General features: G+C 43.0%; 1 long non-coding RNA gene across 2 annotated transcripts in view, besides 2 other annotated features; it reads left to right on the top strand.

The window, feature by feature from the left end:
• LINC03019 (long intergenic non-protein coding RNA 3019) overlaps positions 1–10,104 on the top strand; it is a 45,630-nt gene extending 35,526 nt beyond the window's left edge. The window contains exons 4-5 of one of the 2 annotated variants that reach the window (NR_152742.1): positions 8,039–8,223; positions 9,358–10,104. This is a non-coding gene — a long non-coding RNA (long intergenic non-protein coding RNA 3019). The remainder of the gene's footprint in view (positions 1–8,038; positions 8,224–9,357) is intronic. The other variant, NR_015383.2, reaches the window with a different exon arrangement.
• Positions 8,814–9,023: an enhancer, noted in NCBI's record as "active region_27045". NCBI's record gives its function as "activates an Ori minimal core promoter by ATAC-STARR-seq in GM12878 lymphoblastoid cells {active_cell/tissue: GM12878}" and the evidence as "EXISTENCE:reporter gene assay evidence [ECO:0000049][PMID:35858748]".
• Positions 10,284–10,453: an enhancer, noted in NCBI's record as "active region_27044". NCBI's record gives its function as "activates an Ori minimal core promoter by ATAC-STARR-seq in GM12878 lymphoblastoid cells {active_cell/tissue: GM12878}" and the evidence as "EXISTENCE:reporter gene assay evidence [ECO:0000049][PMID:35858748]".

Raw genomic sequence — 15,223 nt, 5'->3', positions numbered from 1 at the left:
TGTAACTATAAGCAAAGGAGTAAATAAAATACAGTTTCCAACATCTGTCCTCCATTCCTACTTTTATAACTCTTTGTATATGAGAACCACAGCGTCTTTGATGAGACTGAGATGGCTAAGTGATCATCAAACTTGTTTCCTCTTCTTCCTGGACACACAGCCAGGCTGCATCTCTAAGTTCCCTTGCAGGTGGAATTCTATCCAGAGGAATGTGAGTGAAAGTGATAGACACTTTGTCTAGGTCTGAGCAAGCGAAAGCTCTCACATGTAATCTATTCCTTTCCAACAACTGCTTGCTGGATGTTGATGGTTAGCACAATTTTGGAAGCCAACTACTTAAGAGGGCAGGGCTATGGCAACCTGGATTCTTGAATGACTCTGAGGAGCAGGCAGCACCACATTCTCATTTGGATGACTGAGGCAGAAAAAAACGTGTGCTGTGTTAACTGCAGTGGTGGGATTCGTTTGTTTCAAAAGTTAATATGCTTTTACCAATATACACTTTCCTTCGTCTACACTTTACTTCTCAGTTATTTTCTAAGAATTGCTGAATCTGGGCAGGCATGTAGAGACATTGGAGAAAGGGCTGGAAATTTTTAGGTAAGATGACAACGCTTAGGCTATCTCTCACATGACCTCCCTGAGAGGGGTGGGTTCTTGGCTTCATCCAGGAAAGAATTGGAGGGTGAGCTGCTGGTGTTAGACAGCAGCTTTTGTTGAAGCAGCATTGTACATCAGGAGCAAAGGACTGCTCCTTGCAGAGCAGGGCTAACCCATAGGCAATGTGCCCAGAGTAGCAATGTATGGGCTGTTGGCAGCTGTGTTTATACCCACTTTCAATGATATGCTAATTAAGAGGCAGGTTATTCAGAACTTTCTGGAAATGAGGCAGGGATGTTCTGCAACCATAAGAGGTAACTGTTTATGGGCCATTGCCGTGGTTCATTGCCATGGCATTTGTAAATTGTCATGGCACTGGTGGGAGTGTCTTTATGCTAATGAACAGTGAGGGGAACTAGAGGTTGCTTTCATCACCATCTACTGGTTTTGGCCAGCTTCTTCACTGCACCCTGTTTTGACCAGATCCTGCTCCAATCAGCGGGGTCGTGATTGATTGGGGTCATGACCAGTGTTCCAAAAACAAGTCCTGCTGATCTCCTGCCTTGATAGCACTAGGCCACATTTGCTGGATTACATGGTCAGTGGACTAGATGTTTGTCCCACTAGACTGCAGGCTCCGTGTGGGTAGTGATGATCTCTGCCTCACTCAGTGTCCTGGCCCCAGCACCCAGCACGGTGCAGGCCCACAGAGATGCCTCAATTATTTATATATATATATATATATACACACACACACACACACACACACACACACACACACATATATACACACACACAAATATACACACATATATATGCATATATATCATTGTGATTATATATATATATAATTGTAATAATTATGTATATATAATTGTGATAAAATGCACATAATATAAAATTTGCCATCTTTACCATTTTTATGTGTACCGTTCAGGGGCATTAAATACATTCACATTTTTGTGCTATCATCACCACCATCCAACCACAGAACTCTTCATTTACAAATATAATCAATGATATTTATAGAAAAAAGGGATGAGAGCTCCTTTTTATAAAGTGAAAAATTATTTGTAATGTAAAATTATATGTCTCCCAATTTAACCACTGGGGAAGTTTGGACATATATATATATGACTTTATTAAATAAGGAACACCTATAAGGTAACTGATGGATCTAGAAATACTTGCATATATGGGCTGGGAAAATAAAATATTACCGATGGGATCTGAATGAAAAAGCTGGGAAAAAGGTAAGTAGATAAATCGGCATAACCTAGAAATAGGATATACATTTAAACTATCTTTAGTCTTTAGATACAGTAAGATGGTTTGTAAATGAATACTTAGATGTTGAATTTCCTTTTAATGTTGGCTCTCAGAGGAGCAAAGCATTCGGCCATTTGATTATATAAACTACAAACAAGTAATTTGAAAGTGTTTTACTCTAAGATAAAAACTACCCAAGAGAGGGCTTGTATTTGGGAAAAGTCATTTAGGTTTGATTCCTGTGAGATACTTACAAAGCTACAATATTGTTAATTGACTTGAAATTGACTTGAAACTCTTATTGTCCAACAACATCCTGTTGTGTGTGTATGTGTGTGTGTGTTCACAATATTCAGATAATTCTGCTTGGAGTTTTGAAGCCTGTGGAGGCAGAAGACATATATCCATCCTAACATAAAACTTGCAGTGTATTAAGGAAGAGTCAGGGTGTGGTGGTATATGCCTATAGTCCTAGCTACTTGGGAGGCTAAAAAGGAATTACTGCTTGAGCCCAGGAGGTCAAGGCTGCAGTTAATTGTAATTGCACCACTGCACTTGAGTGCATTCCAGGCCCGGGCAACAGAGAGATATCCTGTCTCAACAACAACAACAACGACAGCACCAACAATGGAGTCAAAGCAAATTAGAGGTGATAGAGCATATGTGTGCAGATAATTATATATTTAAATAGTGCACATAAATACTAATTACAATAACTACTGAAGTAGTGAAGGATACTAAAGTAGTCTGGTTTTACCATGAGCAGGTTTAATGAAAGGCAGTGTCTCCAAAACATAGTGATTTGAAGTCAATTTAAACATTTTTTCTGAACCAACACAATTAGCATGAATGTACTGAAGTTATGTAATTTACAAGTGAATCTTTCAGACCTAACATTAAGCTCTGTAAATGCCATTATAAATCAGTATGTCTAAAATACCTCATAACAATAGATTCATACAAGAGACATTGATAAAAGTCACCAGGTATGAACCGGGTCAGTTTTTCCTATTCTTCTTTTTTTTTGGTACTTCAAAGGAGACTATGATCAATGTCAAAGAAGCAGTAAAACTAACTGAACTAATTACAGATCTACAAGGGGTGTGTTCTCAAGGTGAGTAGCTTCTAATTACCAGATACCATCAGAAGGAAGGGCTGTTGTGAGGTGCTGAGCTCTGCAGTACTTTTCTGTTCCCATCAGTTAGCATAACATCATTTGGCTACTACTATGGGTATTGATGTTATATAATATAAACACGCTTACATAAGGAAAAGAGAGAGAAACACATAACCAGTGCAGAACGGTGCCCTTCAGAGCACCCATGTTTTGGATTATGCTTTCTGTAGAACAGAAAATACTGCTTCAATAAATTTGTACAATAAGTTGCAAACTATTTGGAAGTGACAGGAAAACACACAATGTAAATATGTGTTTGTTTCATGTTATTTAATTATAACGTCACTTTCTATTAAAGGATTCAGCTCTATATGACTAGTCTATTATAATTTAGTCTACAGTGAATGGGTCCTAATGGTATATGCTTGTGGGACACCTGGTTGATTTTTTTTTTCTTCTGTCAAAAACAAACTTGCCTATACTTGTATTAAAGACATGGCCTATTTTCTTAGTAGCATTGTACTTGGAGTTGATAGTCCTAGGTAACCTTCTTTTTCTAGTCCCTTCTCCCCAGAAATTCTCAGACACACCCTGGGTGCTATTAAGAATGAATCCTGCAGGTCCATTCATGCTGTGACAAATGGCAGAATCTCGTTCTAATTTGAGGCTGAATAATATTTCATTATATATACATTATATATAATACATACATACATATATACGTGTATACGCACACACAACTTTCATTATATTAAGTGAAATAAGCCAGACATATAAAGAAAAATATTTCATGATCTCACTTTTATGTGGAATCTAAACAACAACAAAAAGGTCAAGAGGCAGCGGGGTGGGATGGGGAGATGTAGGTCAAAGTAGCAGATACGTAGGATGAAAAAGTCTGAAGATCTAATGTACAGCATGGGAACTATAGTTAATAAAATTGTATTAAGGATGTTTGTTAAATAAGTAGATTTTCACTGCTCATCACAAAGCAGTAACTCTGTGAAATGATATGTTCATGTGTTTCACTATAGTAACCATTTTACTATCTATATGTATCCTATGACATCATGTTGTAAACCTCAAATATATACAATGAAATTGATTTTAAAAAAAGATTGAACCCTGGGTCTAGCTTTGAGTCCAGGCTCTACTCCTTGTAGAGCTATGCAACTTTGAATAAGTTGCTTAATGCCGTTTCCTCATTTGCAAGATGTAGGTAGATAAGAGTACTTAACTTGAAAAATTAAGTGGATTAAAGAAGATAATAAACCAGTGTGTGATTAGCACCCATGTAGTTGCTAATAAATGGTAGCAACTTTGTTACTAGAAAAGCCAGCTGCATTTGATGTTGTGCAGATAACTTGTATGATTCACTTCAGCACTGCACTCCGAAGGCAGTCACAAACACAAGCGAAGGCAACCACCAAACCAAGTGCTGCCTTCAGTAGGTCAAAGCCCTCTTCCCTGTTGCTGGCTTCAACTCCTAGGTTATCCTTTACAAAACGTAATCCTTACTGAGCCTGCGTGGGCCTTCACGGCCTTGCTACCTGGCACTAGGGCATGAAAATCATGCCTGGGTAGAAATCAAGAAGGGCTGCTCTGCCCCTGCTTGGCATGTACAGTAGAGTCAGAGAAGTGATTGGATGGTAATACCTCCTGGGACTCTCTTCCCTTCTTTCCCATCAAACCTTTCTTCTAGAGCCATGATGCCTGCTGTCCTATGTGAGCCTTGTGACGTGAGCTCTTATTTTTATTGAGTCAACCCATAGGTGTTATCATACTCCTAATCCAGATATAAATAAACTTGTGGGAGGCCTTGTTTCTTGTATTTGCCTAGTTAGCTTCCTGAGAATTTCCTCCTTCATCCAGTATTGGCTAATTTCTGGGCTCACTAGTGACTGTGATAACCTGTGGTCCTTTAAGACACCGTGCAATTGGCCTGCCTTTCATATTTTTGCTTCCAGACTATTAAGAGGACAAGCTACAGTAAAAAGAAAATATCCAAGTAGCCCTTTTGCTGGTTATCTTAGTATTGGTGAAAAAAATACTTAATTTTTAATGCTTTCTAAAATTACACATATATATTTTATTTTAAGAAAGATCCTATTTCAGTGGATAAAACATGTTTTAATCACCTCCTATTCATTCAGTTGGTGAGGGAGGGATTCCTGTCCTAGGGTTATAAGGATGGCTGAAGATGCTACTACCAACAACGGAAAGGTTAGATTAACAGCAATTTATTAGTCAGATATACTCACTGCCCGGGGAGTGGGGGCGACACCGTAGACCAAGTAGGGTTGTATTCAGGAACAGAGTGGACAACCAGGGGCTGCGGGAGGCAGGCTTTGTAATATCAAGAGGGTGAGGTGTCTGTTGGTTCATAGGAGGAAGTGATTGGCTTGTTTGAACAATTCGGAAAAGTAGCAGGAAGTTGAAACCCCAGGATACTCCAGGATAAGCAGGAACTGCCTCTGCTACCTTTGAAAGGAAAGTTGTTCAGCCAAGGGACCTTATCCACAAGAGCAGAGCAAGGAGGGGAAATTGCAGTGAGAACATTCAAGGCCTCCCAGTTTCAACAGATGTCAAGGCAGCACGTAACACTCGGCCTTAATTTTAGACCTTAGACCACACATGTCAAGATGGCAGACCTCTCATTCTCTCGGTTTATAAAACCAGAGCAGAACGATGTTCTAAAGGTGACTATCGTTCGATGAAAGACTTTTTCTTTCTCCTACATACTACACAAGGCTGAGACAAGACAATGCTGAGAAAGAAGCAATTATTTGGTATCGCGAGGCAATAAAGCATTCTATTTCTTTTCCTGAAATATGTATGCTGTTCTACTCATTAACCTATTCTCCAGCCTAGCAAGTGTTACTGCAAGTGCATTCCAGTGTTATTGGAGATAAGATTACTGATTAAAAGGAGGGGTAGATAGATTTATCTGTTTCTCAATGCAGACACTGTCTCAAAATAGAAAGATTTATAATTTCTTATGTATTATGTGAAGGTTGCTTCACAACCTCCCCCATCACATATTTCACAGTGTATTTATTTATATTTCTAAATAAATAAAACATTATAAAGCCTTGGAAAGTCCGTGAATGTTCTATACTTTGCAAAGGTTATTGTCAGAAGGAAAAGGATAAAGAGGGCCATTGTCCCTTTTCTCTTTCCCATGCCCTTTCCCTTAGGAGGAACGGTCGGTCATATAGCACTCACTCATACAATGACATGCCAGCCACCAGCTAAAGAGCACCAGGCAAATCTGCATGTAGCATTCTAAAAACCAGACCTTCAAAAAATGTAAGGTTCAACTAATAAAGCAGCTAAAACAGTGTCTGGCACATAGTAAACTCTTATTCCAATATTGGTTAACTAATGAATAAATGTTGACAGTAGCTGTGATTGAAATGAACCAATGCATAGTCCAAAAGGATGGGCACATTTACACGAAAACCTACTTGTTAACTCTCAAGGCCACTTCTTACATTGGACCATGTACCAATGTTAGCCTTGAGTCCACACCTTGGATCATCTCATGAGGATCATGTAAGATAGTCCCACTCTATGAGATCCTGGTTCAGTTTGTCCAGGGCCATGAATCTGCATTTCAGAAAAGCACCCCAGATGATTCTTAGACCCACTACAATTTAGGAATCACAAAGCTCAATAGTGAAATGTATGCCTTTTGGAGAAAAAGAAGGAAGGTAAGAAACTCCTGCTGACCAGCACAAGCCATGGTCACCCTTTCACTCAGGTGTGCGACTCTTCCGTTCCTACCTCAAACAATGCTTCTTCCCAATGCATATACGTGAGTTTCATGATGAAATGACGTGTGCCTTTGGATGATAGCTAACAGGTTTTTTTTTTTTTTCATTCTAAGAATGTATTTTGTTTGTACTTATTTACTTAAATCAAGGCCACCTAAATCAGAAACCCCTTGGTCTCCATGCTCTGATTCCTTTTTTGATGGGCTTTAAAGTTACTGTCCCCCTCATCTCGGCTATGGTCCCAGTGATCCCCAGCCCCTGCCACACTCTGCCTGACTGTGTAGTGTTCCATGCTGCCCTTTTCTGCTGTCTCAAACTTGATTCCACCTCTCTACTCTCTTCCAGGTGAGTAAAGCAGGTTCTGAACTTCGCAAAGAGTTATTTTTGCTTAAGACCCTAAACTTGTCATAGTTTGACTCTCCCTTCTTCTTCTTCTTCTTCTTATTATTATTTGAGACAGGTACTGTTATGTCGCCCAGGCTGGTGTTGGATTCCTGGGCTCAAGGGATCCTCCCGCCTCAGTCTCCTGAGTAGCTGCCAGTATAGGTGTGTGCTCCCCAGCAGTTTTTGAGATAACCTAGACTCCTTTGTGGGGAGAACGGGACTGGCATTTTCATAGAGAGGAGAAGCCACGTCCTCAGCCTCCCGAACTGCTCTAGCCTTTTCATTTTTTCATCCCTATTGGTCCCTTGCAGGGATCATCTTCTGCTCAGGACCAGAAGATGAATGCTCATAGGGTTGACTTGTGTGCCCCAGTCCTTTGGTGATGGCAATGGCGTCTTGTGGGAGTTCTGTCCTTTACCTTTCTCTCTCTCTCTGGGCTTCAGTCTTGGGATGGGAGACTTTCTGGCTTCCATCTCATCCATTCACTCGCGTATCCTTCATCAGCAAGGCCCAGACGAGGGGTCCTGCCATTAGGCCTTTAACTGTTTCTGCAGCAGGCTTGCCAGTCATTTCCGCTCCTTCAGCCACCACACTTGGGCTGCTCTCTGGGGAGAGACCAGAAGCTCCTCCTGGCATGCAGGACGTAGCCTCTGAGCGCAGGGAAGTGCTTGTAAGCAGTTGCTCCAACTACCTAAAGATCCTCTGAGCACACCTGCCTTGATGTGCTGGTTCCATGTCCTACTGGATCCACAAAGGCTGCTCTTGCTGGTGCTGTTTTAATGTGCTCTGAGTCTGCAGACTGGGTGGCCTGTGTGTCCATAGCACTTGCTTTGGTGCCTGTTGTTACCGCTACTGTTGCCCCTTCATTGAGCACTGGTTGCATTGCAATTAGAATGAAGAAGAGTGCCCTTCCATGAACACATGTGCTGGAGACGTGTTGAATTTCTTCCCCCTCAGCATAATCAGAGGAGGTGACCCCAAGCACCTTAGAGACCATGGGAAGTTCCTAATGCCGGCCTGATGCAGATTCTCTTCTCCACGGAGCACCATGGCCGCTGGGCTCTGCCTTCCACACAGGTATTCCCATTGTGTCCTCAGTGGGATGGCCTGGGTACAGATTTAAGCCTCCATTGGTGGTCTTAGGGGATAAACAAGGTTTTTCCAGATCTTTTGCATCTGCAGGGGCACGGCTGCAGGTGAAATGAGTGGCCATTGGCAAGCTTCAGGTGGAACTGTTGTCATGACTGTGGATGACTGTCTTTACAAACCTCAAGGAGGCAGCCCTGTTGCCTCGAAGGTCTTTACAGGCCTACAGCCTCTACCCTGGATGTCTCAGCCCAGCCACTTTTTTTTTTTAATTTTTTTTTTTGAGACGGAGTCTCGCTCTGTCACCCAGGCTGGAGTGCAGTGGTGTAATCTCGGCTCACTGCAACCTCTACCTCCTGGATTCAAGTGATTCTCCTGCCTCAGCCTCCTAAGTAGCTGCTATTACAGGTGTCTGCTGCCATGCTCAGCTAGTTTTTGTGTGTGTGTGTATTTTTAGTAGAGACGGGGTTTCACCATGTTGGCCAGGCTGGTCTCGGACTCCTGACCTCAGGTGATCCACCTGCCTCAGCCTCCCAAAGTGCCTGTATTACAGGTGTGAGCCACCATGCCCAGCCTCTCAGCTACTTCTGGTCAGCCCAGCAGCATGGCGTCAGGTATTTCCCGGCTGGTGCTGGTGGATACAAGGTCCACAGCCACCATTCCCGTGGTGTATAGATGGATCATCGCTCTTCTTTTGCTATCTGGAAAAAGTCTCTTTCAAAAATCTGTTAAATTAACTTATTTTTGGCCTGAGGCTGCCTCCATACCTTGAGTTTCTGTGTCAGGAGCCACAACCTAACTCAGTAGGTAAACAAACCGAAAGCCTAATTTAGGAGCATATTTTTGTAACAAATAGCTGTGTCACAGCCAGTCATAGCAACCGAACTTCCGCTAATCACAGGCTACCCACTGATCAGACCATGTCCAAAAAAGGCAGATGCCGGAGTTGTAACCAATCAAGCTATTTCTGTAGGGTACTTCCAGTTTTCTGTCTATAAATAATCCCTGCCCAGGGAGCTCTCTGAACTTCCACTTGTTCTGGGTGTTGCCTGATTCATGAATCATTCTTTGCACAATTAAACTCTGTTCAATTTAATTTGTCTAAAGTTTTTTTTCTTTCAACAGAACGATGTGTACTTGAAAACAGTACACTCTTGCACAGCTGTCCCTGGAGCTTCCCCGTGGAGCTGTTAAACTTGCCCTCCGCTGGCTGTTTTCCACAAAGTAATATGGTTACATAGATTCACGGCTCATGGCAATGTTTCATTAAGACAGTTCTTGATGGCCGCTCCACACCTTTCTCACCACATCTCACAGGCTGCCCTGCTGAGCCAGGTCTCCCTGGAACCCGGGGCTCCTGCGCAGGCCCCCATTTTGCTCCAGAACACCCAGGAAGGCGGGGCTTGGGCTGGAATGGGGACACCGATTACCCTCTGTTCAGGCCTTTGGTGCCAGCTGAGGTCGATACTGGTGCCAGGATCGAGACTGTGCGCATCCCATCGAGAGCGGGCAGATGTGGGGGCGCACTGGACCGGGCCTCCCAGGCTGACACCCATTCACAGCAGCCTGAGCCTAATCCGCCACTGCTCGCCTTCCTCCGACGTCTCCACCTAAACCATCCTTCTGCACATTGTGACCCATCACTCCGCCCTTTGTCCACACATCTCCTTCCCCACACCCACAACGCGGTGGTCCCTGCCCCACAATGCAACGGAAACCTTGCGGAGTGCTAGGCGGAAGCTGCGAGGCCTGTGTAGACACTGCCTCCGCAGGGCTGGCGCACTCCTCCGAGGGCCGACTGAGGGGTGGGTTTTTTAAGTTGCAAAATAAAAGTTATCGCCTGTGGGCCCTGAAGGCCTCTTTTCCACTGGATGACAGGAATGTGTTTGTTCAGAGATTGTAGTCTCCCTGAACTGGAAGGGACTTTAGAAACGGTCTATTACAACACTCTCCTCCTACATAGAGTTGGAGAAATTTCACCCATGGCTGGGCAGAATCAGGGAGGCTTACCCTTTGGTACTACAGTTTTTGGCATTACTGCAGGAACATAGTGTCCCAGCCATAATGTTAGGTAGTTAGACATTAGCAGCTGGGAGGGGGCGAGAGAGGAGGGCAGAAGGGCTATCACTAAGACAGGCCCTGGCCCACCTAAGTTCAGCCCCCAAGACCACCCTAACTCCACCCTGATAGATGCAGCTTGTGGTAAAGTCTGTGGCCAGCACATCCTGGAGAAAGAAGAACTGGGCACAGATAAAAAATCCCCTTACGTGGCGCATGCCCAGTCCATCTAGGCCATAAACCCGGGTAACCTCATCCTCATTATACAGTCATTATAATAAAATTTACATGTGGTTTTGCCCCTCTGAGTGGGCTTTCCTTAACAAAGTGTAAGTAAAGACGTGCAGTTTAAGTTCAGTGATATAAGCATAAACTGCTAATCAAATGACACAATCCTGTCACTCAAACACAGCCCAAGCCTCAACTCCTCCCCACAAACTGCATAAACGCACCCTGAGCTCTATAAAGAGGGGCTGATTTCACTTCGCAGAGGTTACCCCACTCTCCCTCTGAGAGTGCATTACTGTGCTTCAGAAAGCCTTGTTTTGAGCTTGCATTTCGGGGTTAGTTCGCAATTCTTTGCTCACTATCACGAGAACCAAGACTGCTGGTCCAGAGGTCCGGCTTTGTTGGATCTCCTTGGTTAAAGGATCCATCTCAAGGCAGGATTCCAGGTAACAATACCATCTTGGCAGTTGCCAATTTTCCTGTGCACATATGGGGATCTATTTTGTTTCCATAAAAACACAAAACAAGCTTGATTTATCATATAAGCAATTCCAAAGCATTCTTTTAAGCAAGCTGTTCATGTAAGTTGATACAAATGAAAGTTGAGTACACTCAGTAACTGCTGGCTGTATTAGAGCTATCTACTCATATTTAGAATCATCAAATTTAGGGAAAACAAAAAAAGTAGGTGTTTCAGAATGGCCCCATGCTGCTCAGAAAGGTTTGATCTAAATGTAGGAAAGCCACTTTACATGGGAGAGACCTGAATTTTTTTAGGCCTGAGTTGATGTCATTGCGGACAATGATATGGTGGCAACTGGATTCATAAATCCTCTAAAGCCGAAAGCACTTGTAGCAAGGTTACTCTGGGAATAACATGTCCATGGGGAACTTTGGTTCTCCCCACGCTGGATTAGAAGAGTTGTTTGGAATTTTCACAAAGACCAGGGTCAGCATCAGATTAAACTGGTGATCAGAATTCTGAAGGCTCATATGAATAGCAGCTGGGTGTGGAAAAAGTCACCATATGCTGACATGTGCTGGAACATCTTTCTACGCTCCACATTTTACTTAGACTTGTCTGGTCAAGATATTTCCGATTGCAAGGCGTTTTTTTCCAAGTTGTCACATGTTTGTGATTTGCTTTCATAAGGGAGTTGATGGCATTAACTAGGTAGAGACAGAAGAATATTGGGGGTTGAGAGATTAAAAACTACATATTGGCTGCAATGTACACTACTCCAGTGACAGGTGCACTAAAGTCTCAGACTTCACCCCTCTAGTTCATCCACGTAACCAAAAACTACTTGTACCCCCAAAGCTAATGCAATTTTTAAATACTTATTTAAAAACAAGAATGTGGGAACCATCCTACTGTGTTAGCCCTCTGGACCATCCAGCCTGGCATTTTTTTATTGACAGAAATATCAAAGGATAGATCATGAAAAAACATCATTGCTTTTCTTGACTAACCTGAATTTCAGTAGAGCGTGACTTCCCTTAGCAGTAGATTTTTGTTTTTTTGAGACAAGGTCTTCCTCTGTTGCCCAGGCTGGAGTGAAGTGGTGTGATCATAGCTCACTGTAGCCTCAACTCCCCGGGCTCAGTTGATCCTCCTGCCTCAGCCTTGCAAGCAGCTGGGATTATGGGCATGAGCCACCATGCCCAGCTAATTGTTTAATTTTGTGTTGAGACGGGGTCTCACTATGCTGCCCAGGCTGGCCTCAAACTCCTGGACTCAAGTGATCCTCCCACCTCCCATTCCCAAAGTTCTGTGATTACAGGTGTGGCCATCGCACCCGTCCCCTTAGTAGTATTTTAATGTTTCCATTATTCCTTGGAACCCTTTTATATCTTGTTAACTTTTGTGATATTTATTTGCTGTGATCTGAATGTTGGCGTCCCCCATATGTTGGCACCTACATATGTGACAGTATTAAGAGTAGTGGTGTGGGAGGTGATTAGGTCATGAGGGTGGAGCCCTCTTGAATGGGATTAATGCCTCTTTTATAGAGATGTGAAGGAGCCTCCCATTCCCTTCTTCCATGTGGGGATACAGCAACCAGGCACCCTCTATAAACAGGAAATAGGCCCTCACCACACATAGAATCTACTGGTGACTTGATCTTGGACTTCCCAGCCTCCAGAAATGTGAGCCATAAATTTTGGTTGTTTATAAATTACCCAGTCTAGGGTATTTTTGTCATAGCCATCCAAATAGAGACATTAGTGTTCCATGCTAGAGAAAAGAGTCCTTCATGTTTTCTACCTAATTAATTTCACTTAAGTTTGAAAATAACGTCCCCTCCTCTAGCTACTTCAGAATCGGAAAAAGAGATGTGTGTCCTTCTCTTTCATCCAAGGTCCTTCTCTAGTCCAAGACCTGTGCCTTAACTGTTTTAGGACAGTTAAGACCTGTCCTAAAACATGTACTAGACACTGACTAAAACTCATCTGTAATGCACATTGACTTGATGTATTTTACATCTTGCTTTTCCTTTTTTTTCTCTTGACTTTATAAGCTGCTAACCTGGTTGGTTGTTCTGCCATTTCTTCCTGGTCTTGACTGTGATCTATACAATTTCATCCCCTGGTCATGAACTCTTCCATCATCTGAAGTCATCATGTCTCCTTGTTTGGCACTGAACTTGTAGGCCATATTGGAATACAGATCATCTAGTCTAACCTAGTCACAGGTGTTTTTCTACTTAACATGCTTGACTTCCTTCACCAAACATCCTCCCCACCCAATTAACTTACTCCAGTCTTTTAAACAAAATGATAGATGTATTTATCTTATCCATGTCACTCATTAGTTTATGAACTGCAATCCTGAATCCTTTTACAATTTACCTAACAACTCAGATTTTTTTTTTTTTTTTTTTTTGAGACGGAGTCTCACTCTTTCGTCCAGGCTGGAAGTGCAGTGGCACAATTTCAGCTCCCTGCAACCTCTGCCTCCCGGGTTCAAACAGTTCTCCTGCCTCAGCCTCCTGAGTAGCTGGGATTACAGGCGCATGCCACCATGCCCGGCTATGTTTTGTATTTTTAGTAGAGACAGGGTTTCACCGTGTTGGTCAGGCTGATCTCGAACTCCTGACCTTGTGATCCACCCACCATGGCCTCCCAAAGTGCTGGGATTATAGGTGTGAGCCACTGTGCTCGGCATAACTCAGAGTTTTAAAAATAACACAGGAGCTGAAAATGTACCAGGTAAAGTTGCACTGCATGCCTTCGCCCTCTAAACTAGGTGACAGCCCAACCCTCTGTATAATCCTAGGACTGTCTAAAACAAAACCACATGGGAGGAGAACAGTGGCAGGGGCTCCTCTATATTTGACGGGCATGGGGGATTTACCTGATTGCCACTATCTTCAGGAACTTTCCAAAGCAGTAAAGTCACTTAGTGTTGGTCACTAGAGCTAGTGATTTTTTTTTCAAGAAGCTGGATATTACCACTTTATTTCTACCTATCTCTCTTACAAATAATTAACATTTTGTTAGATCCTGTCCTAGGAAACCATGTTAGAGCTTCCAGACCACATCCTTAATTCCACGGGCTTCACTCTCCCTTCTAGTTGTGGCACAAGTGACCACAACCATTACAGTCAGGTGCTGAGCATCAAAACAAACACGTTTCTGTGTGTAGCACCACAGCCCTTTTCTCATTTGTTCATACAACCGTTTTTTAAATGGAGGATCAATTATGTGTCCCAAGCATCAAATATTCAGCAGTGAACAAAGAAGTTAAAATCCCTTGTGAAATTTATATTATTTGGAGAAGACAAATAATAAATAATATCAAATATACAAAATGTACAAAACCAAATATATAGTATAAATTAAATATACAGTATATTAGGGATAGAGGCTAAAGATGAAAAGACAGGAAAGGAGATAGGGAGACCAGGCAAGTCGCCATAGAGTGGGTGGCATTGCACAAAAGTCTAAAGGAAGGAAGGAGGCTTGGGGCTGTGTATCAGAAGAGCGTTTCAGGCAAGGAGAACAGAAAAGACAAAGGCCCAGGAGAGGCCAGCGTGCCTGGACACTAGTGAAGACTGGGGCTTTCAGCCAGAGGTGAGGTTGCAGGGTGAGGGCACATTTAACTGCCGACTTCCAGGTCAAACCTAAAGAATACCCAAACTTGTCTTAATTTTAAAACGAGAGATGTGGGCTGGGCACAGTGGCTCACACCTGTCATCCTAGCACATGGGAGGCCAAGGCAGGCAGATCACTTGAAGTCAAGAGTTCGAGACCAGCCTGGCCAACATGGCAAAACCCCGTCTCTACTAAAAATACAAAAATTAGCCAGGTGTGGTGGCAGGCACCTATAATTCCAGCTACTTGGGAGGCTGAGGCAAGAGAGTTGCATGGACCCAGGAAGCAGAGGTTGCAGTGAGCTGAGATTGTGCCACTGCACTCCAGCTGACAGAGCAAGACTCTGTCTCAAAAAATAATAATAATAAAAATAAATAAATAAAACAAGAGATACTGCTGTCTTGGGCCAGGGTGGTGGTGGGGGAGAAGGGGTAAGAGTGGTCAAGAGGACTGTCTGACACACCGAATGGGAAGTATCAGAGAAAGACAGGACGTCTTAGTCAGCTTGGGCTGCTGTGACAAAGTATTAGGTTGATGCAGTTGTGATTAAAAGTAATGGCAAAAACTGCAATTACTTCTGCACCAACCTAATACCATGGACTGGGTG

The sequence above is a fragment of the Homo sapiens genome, chromosome 8, assembly GCF_000001405.40.
Source record: "Homo sapiens chromosome 8, GRCh38.p14 Primary Assembly".
Lineage (NCBI taxonomy): Eukaryota > Metazoa > Chordata > Mammalia > Primates > Hominidae > Homo > Homo sapiens.
The sequence above is the reverse complement of the archived record's forward strand: the minus strand, read 5'-3'. Positions and strand labels throughout refer to the sequence as shown.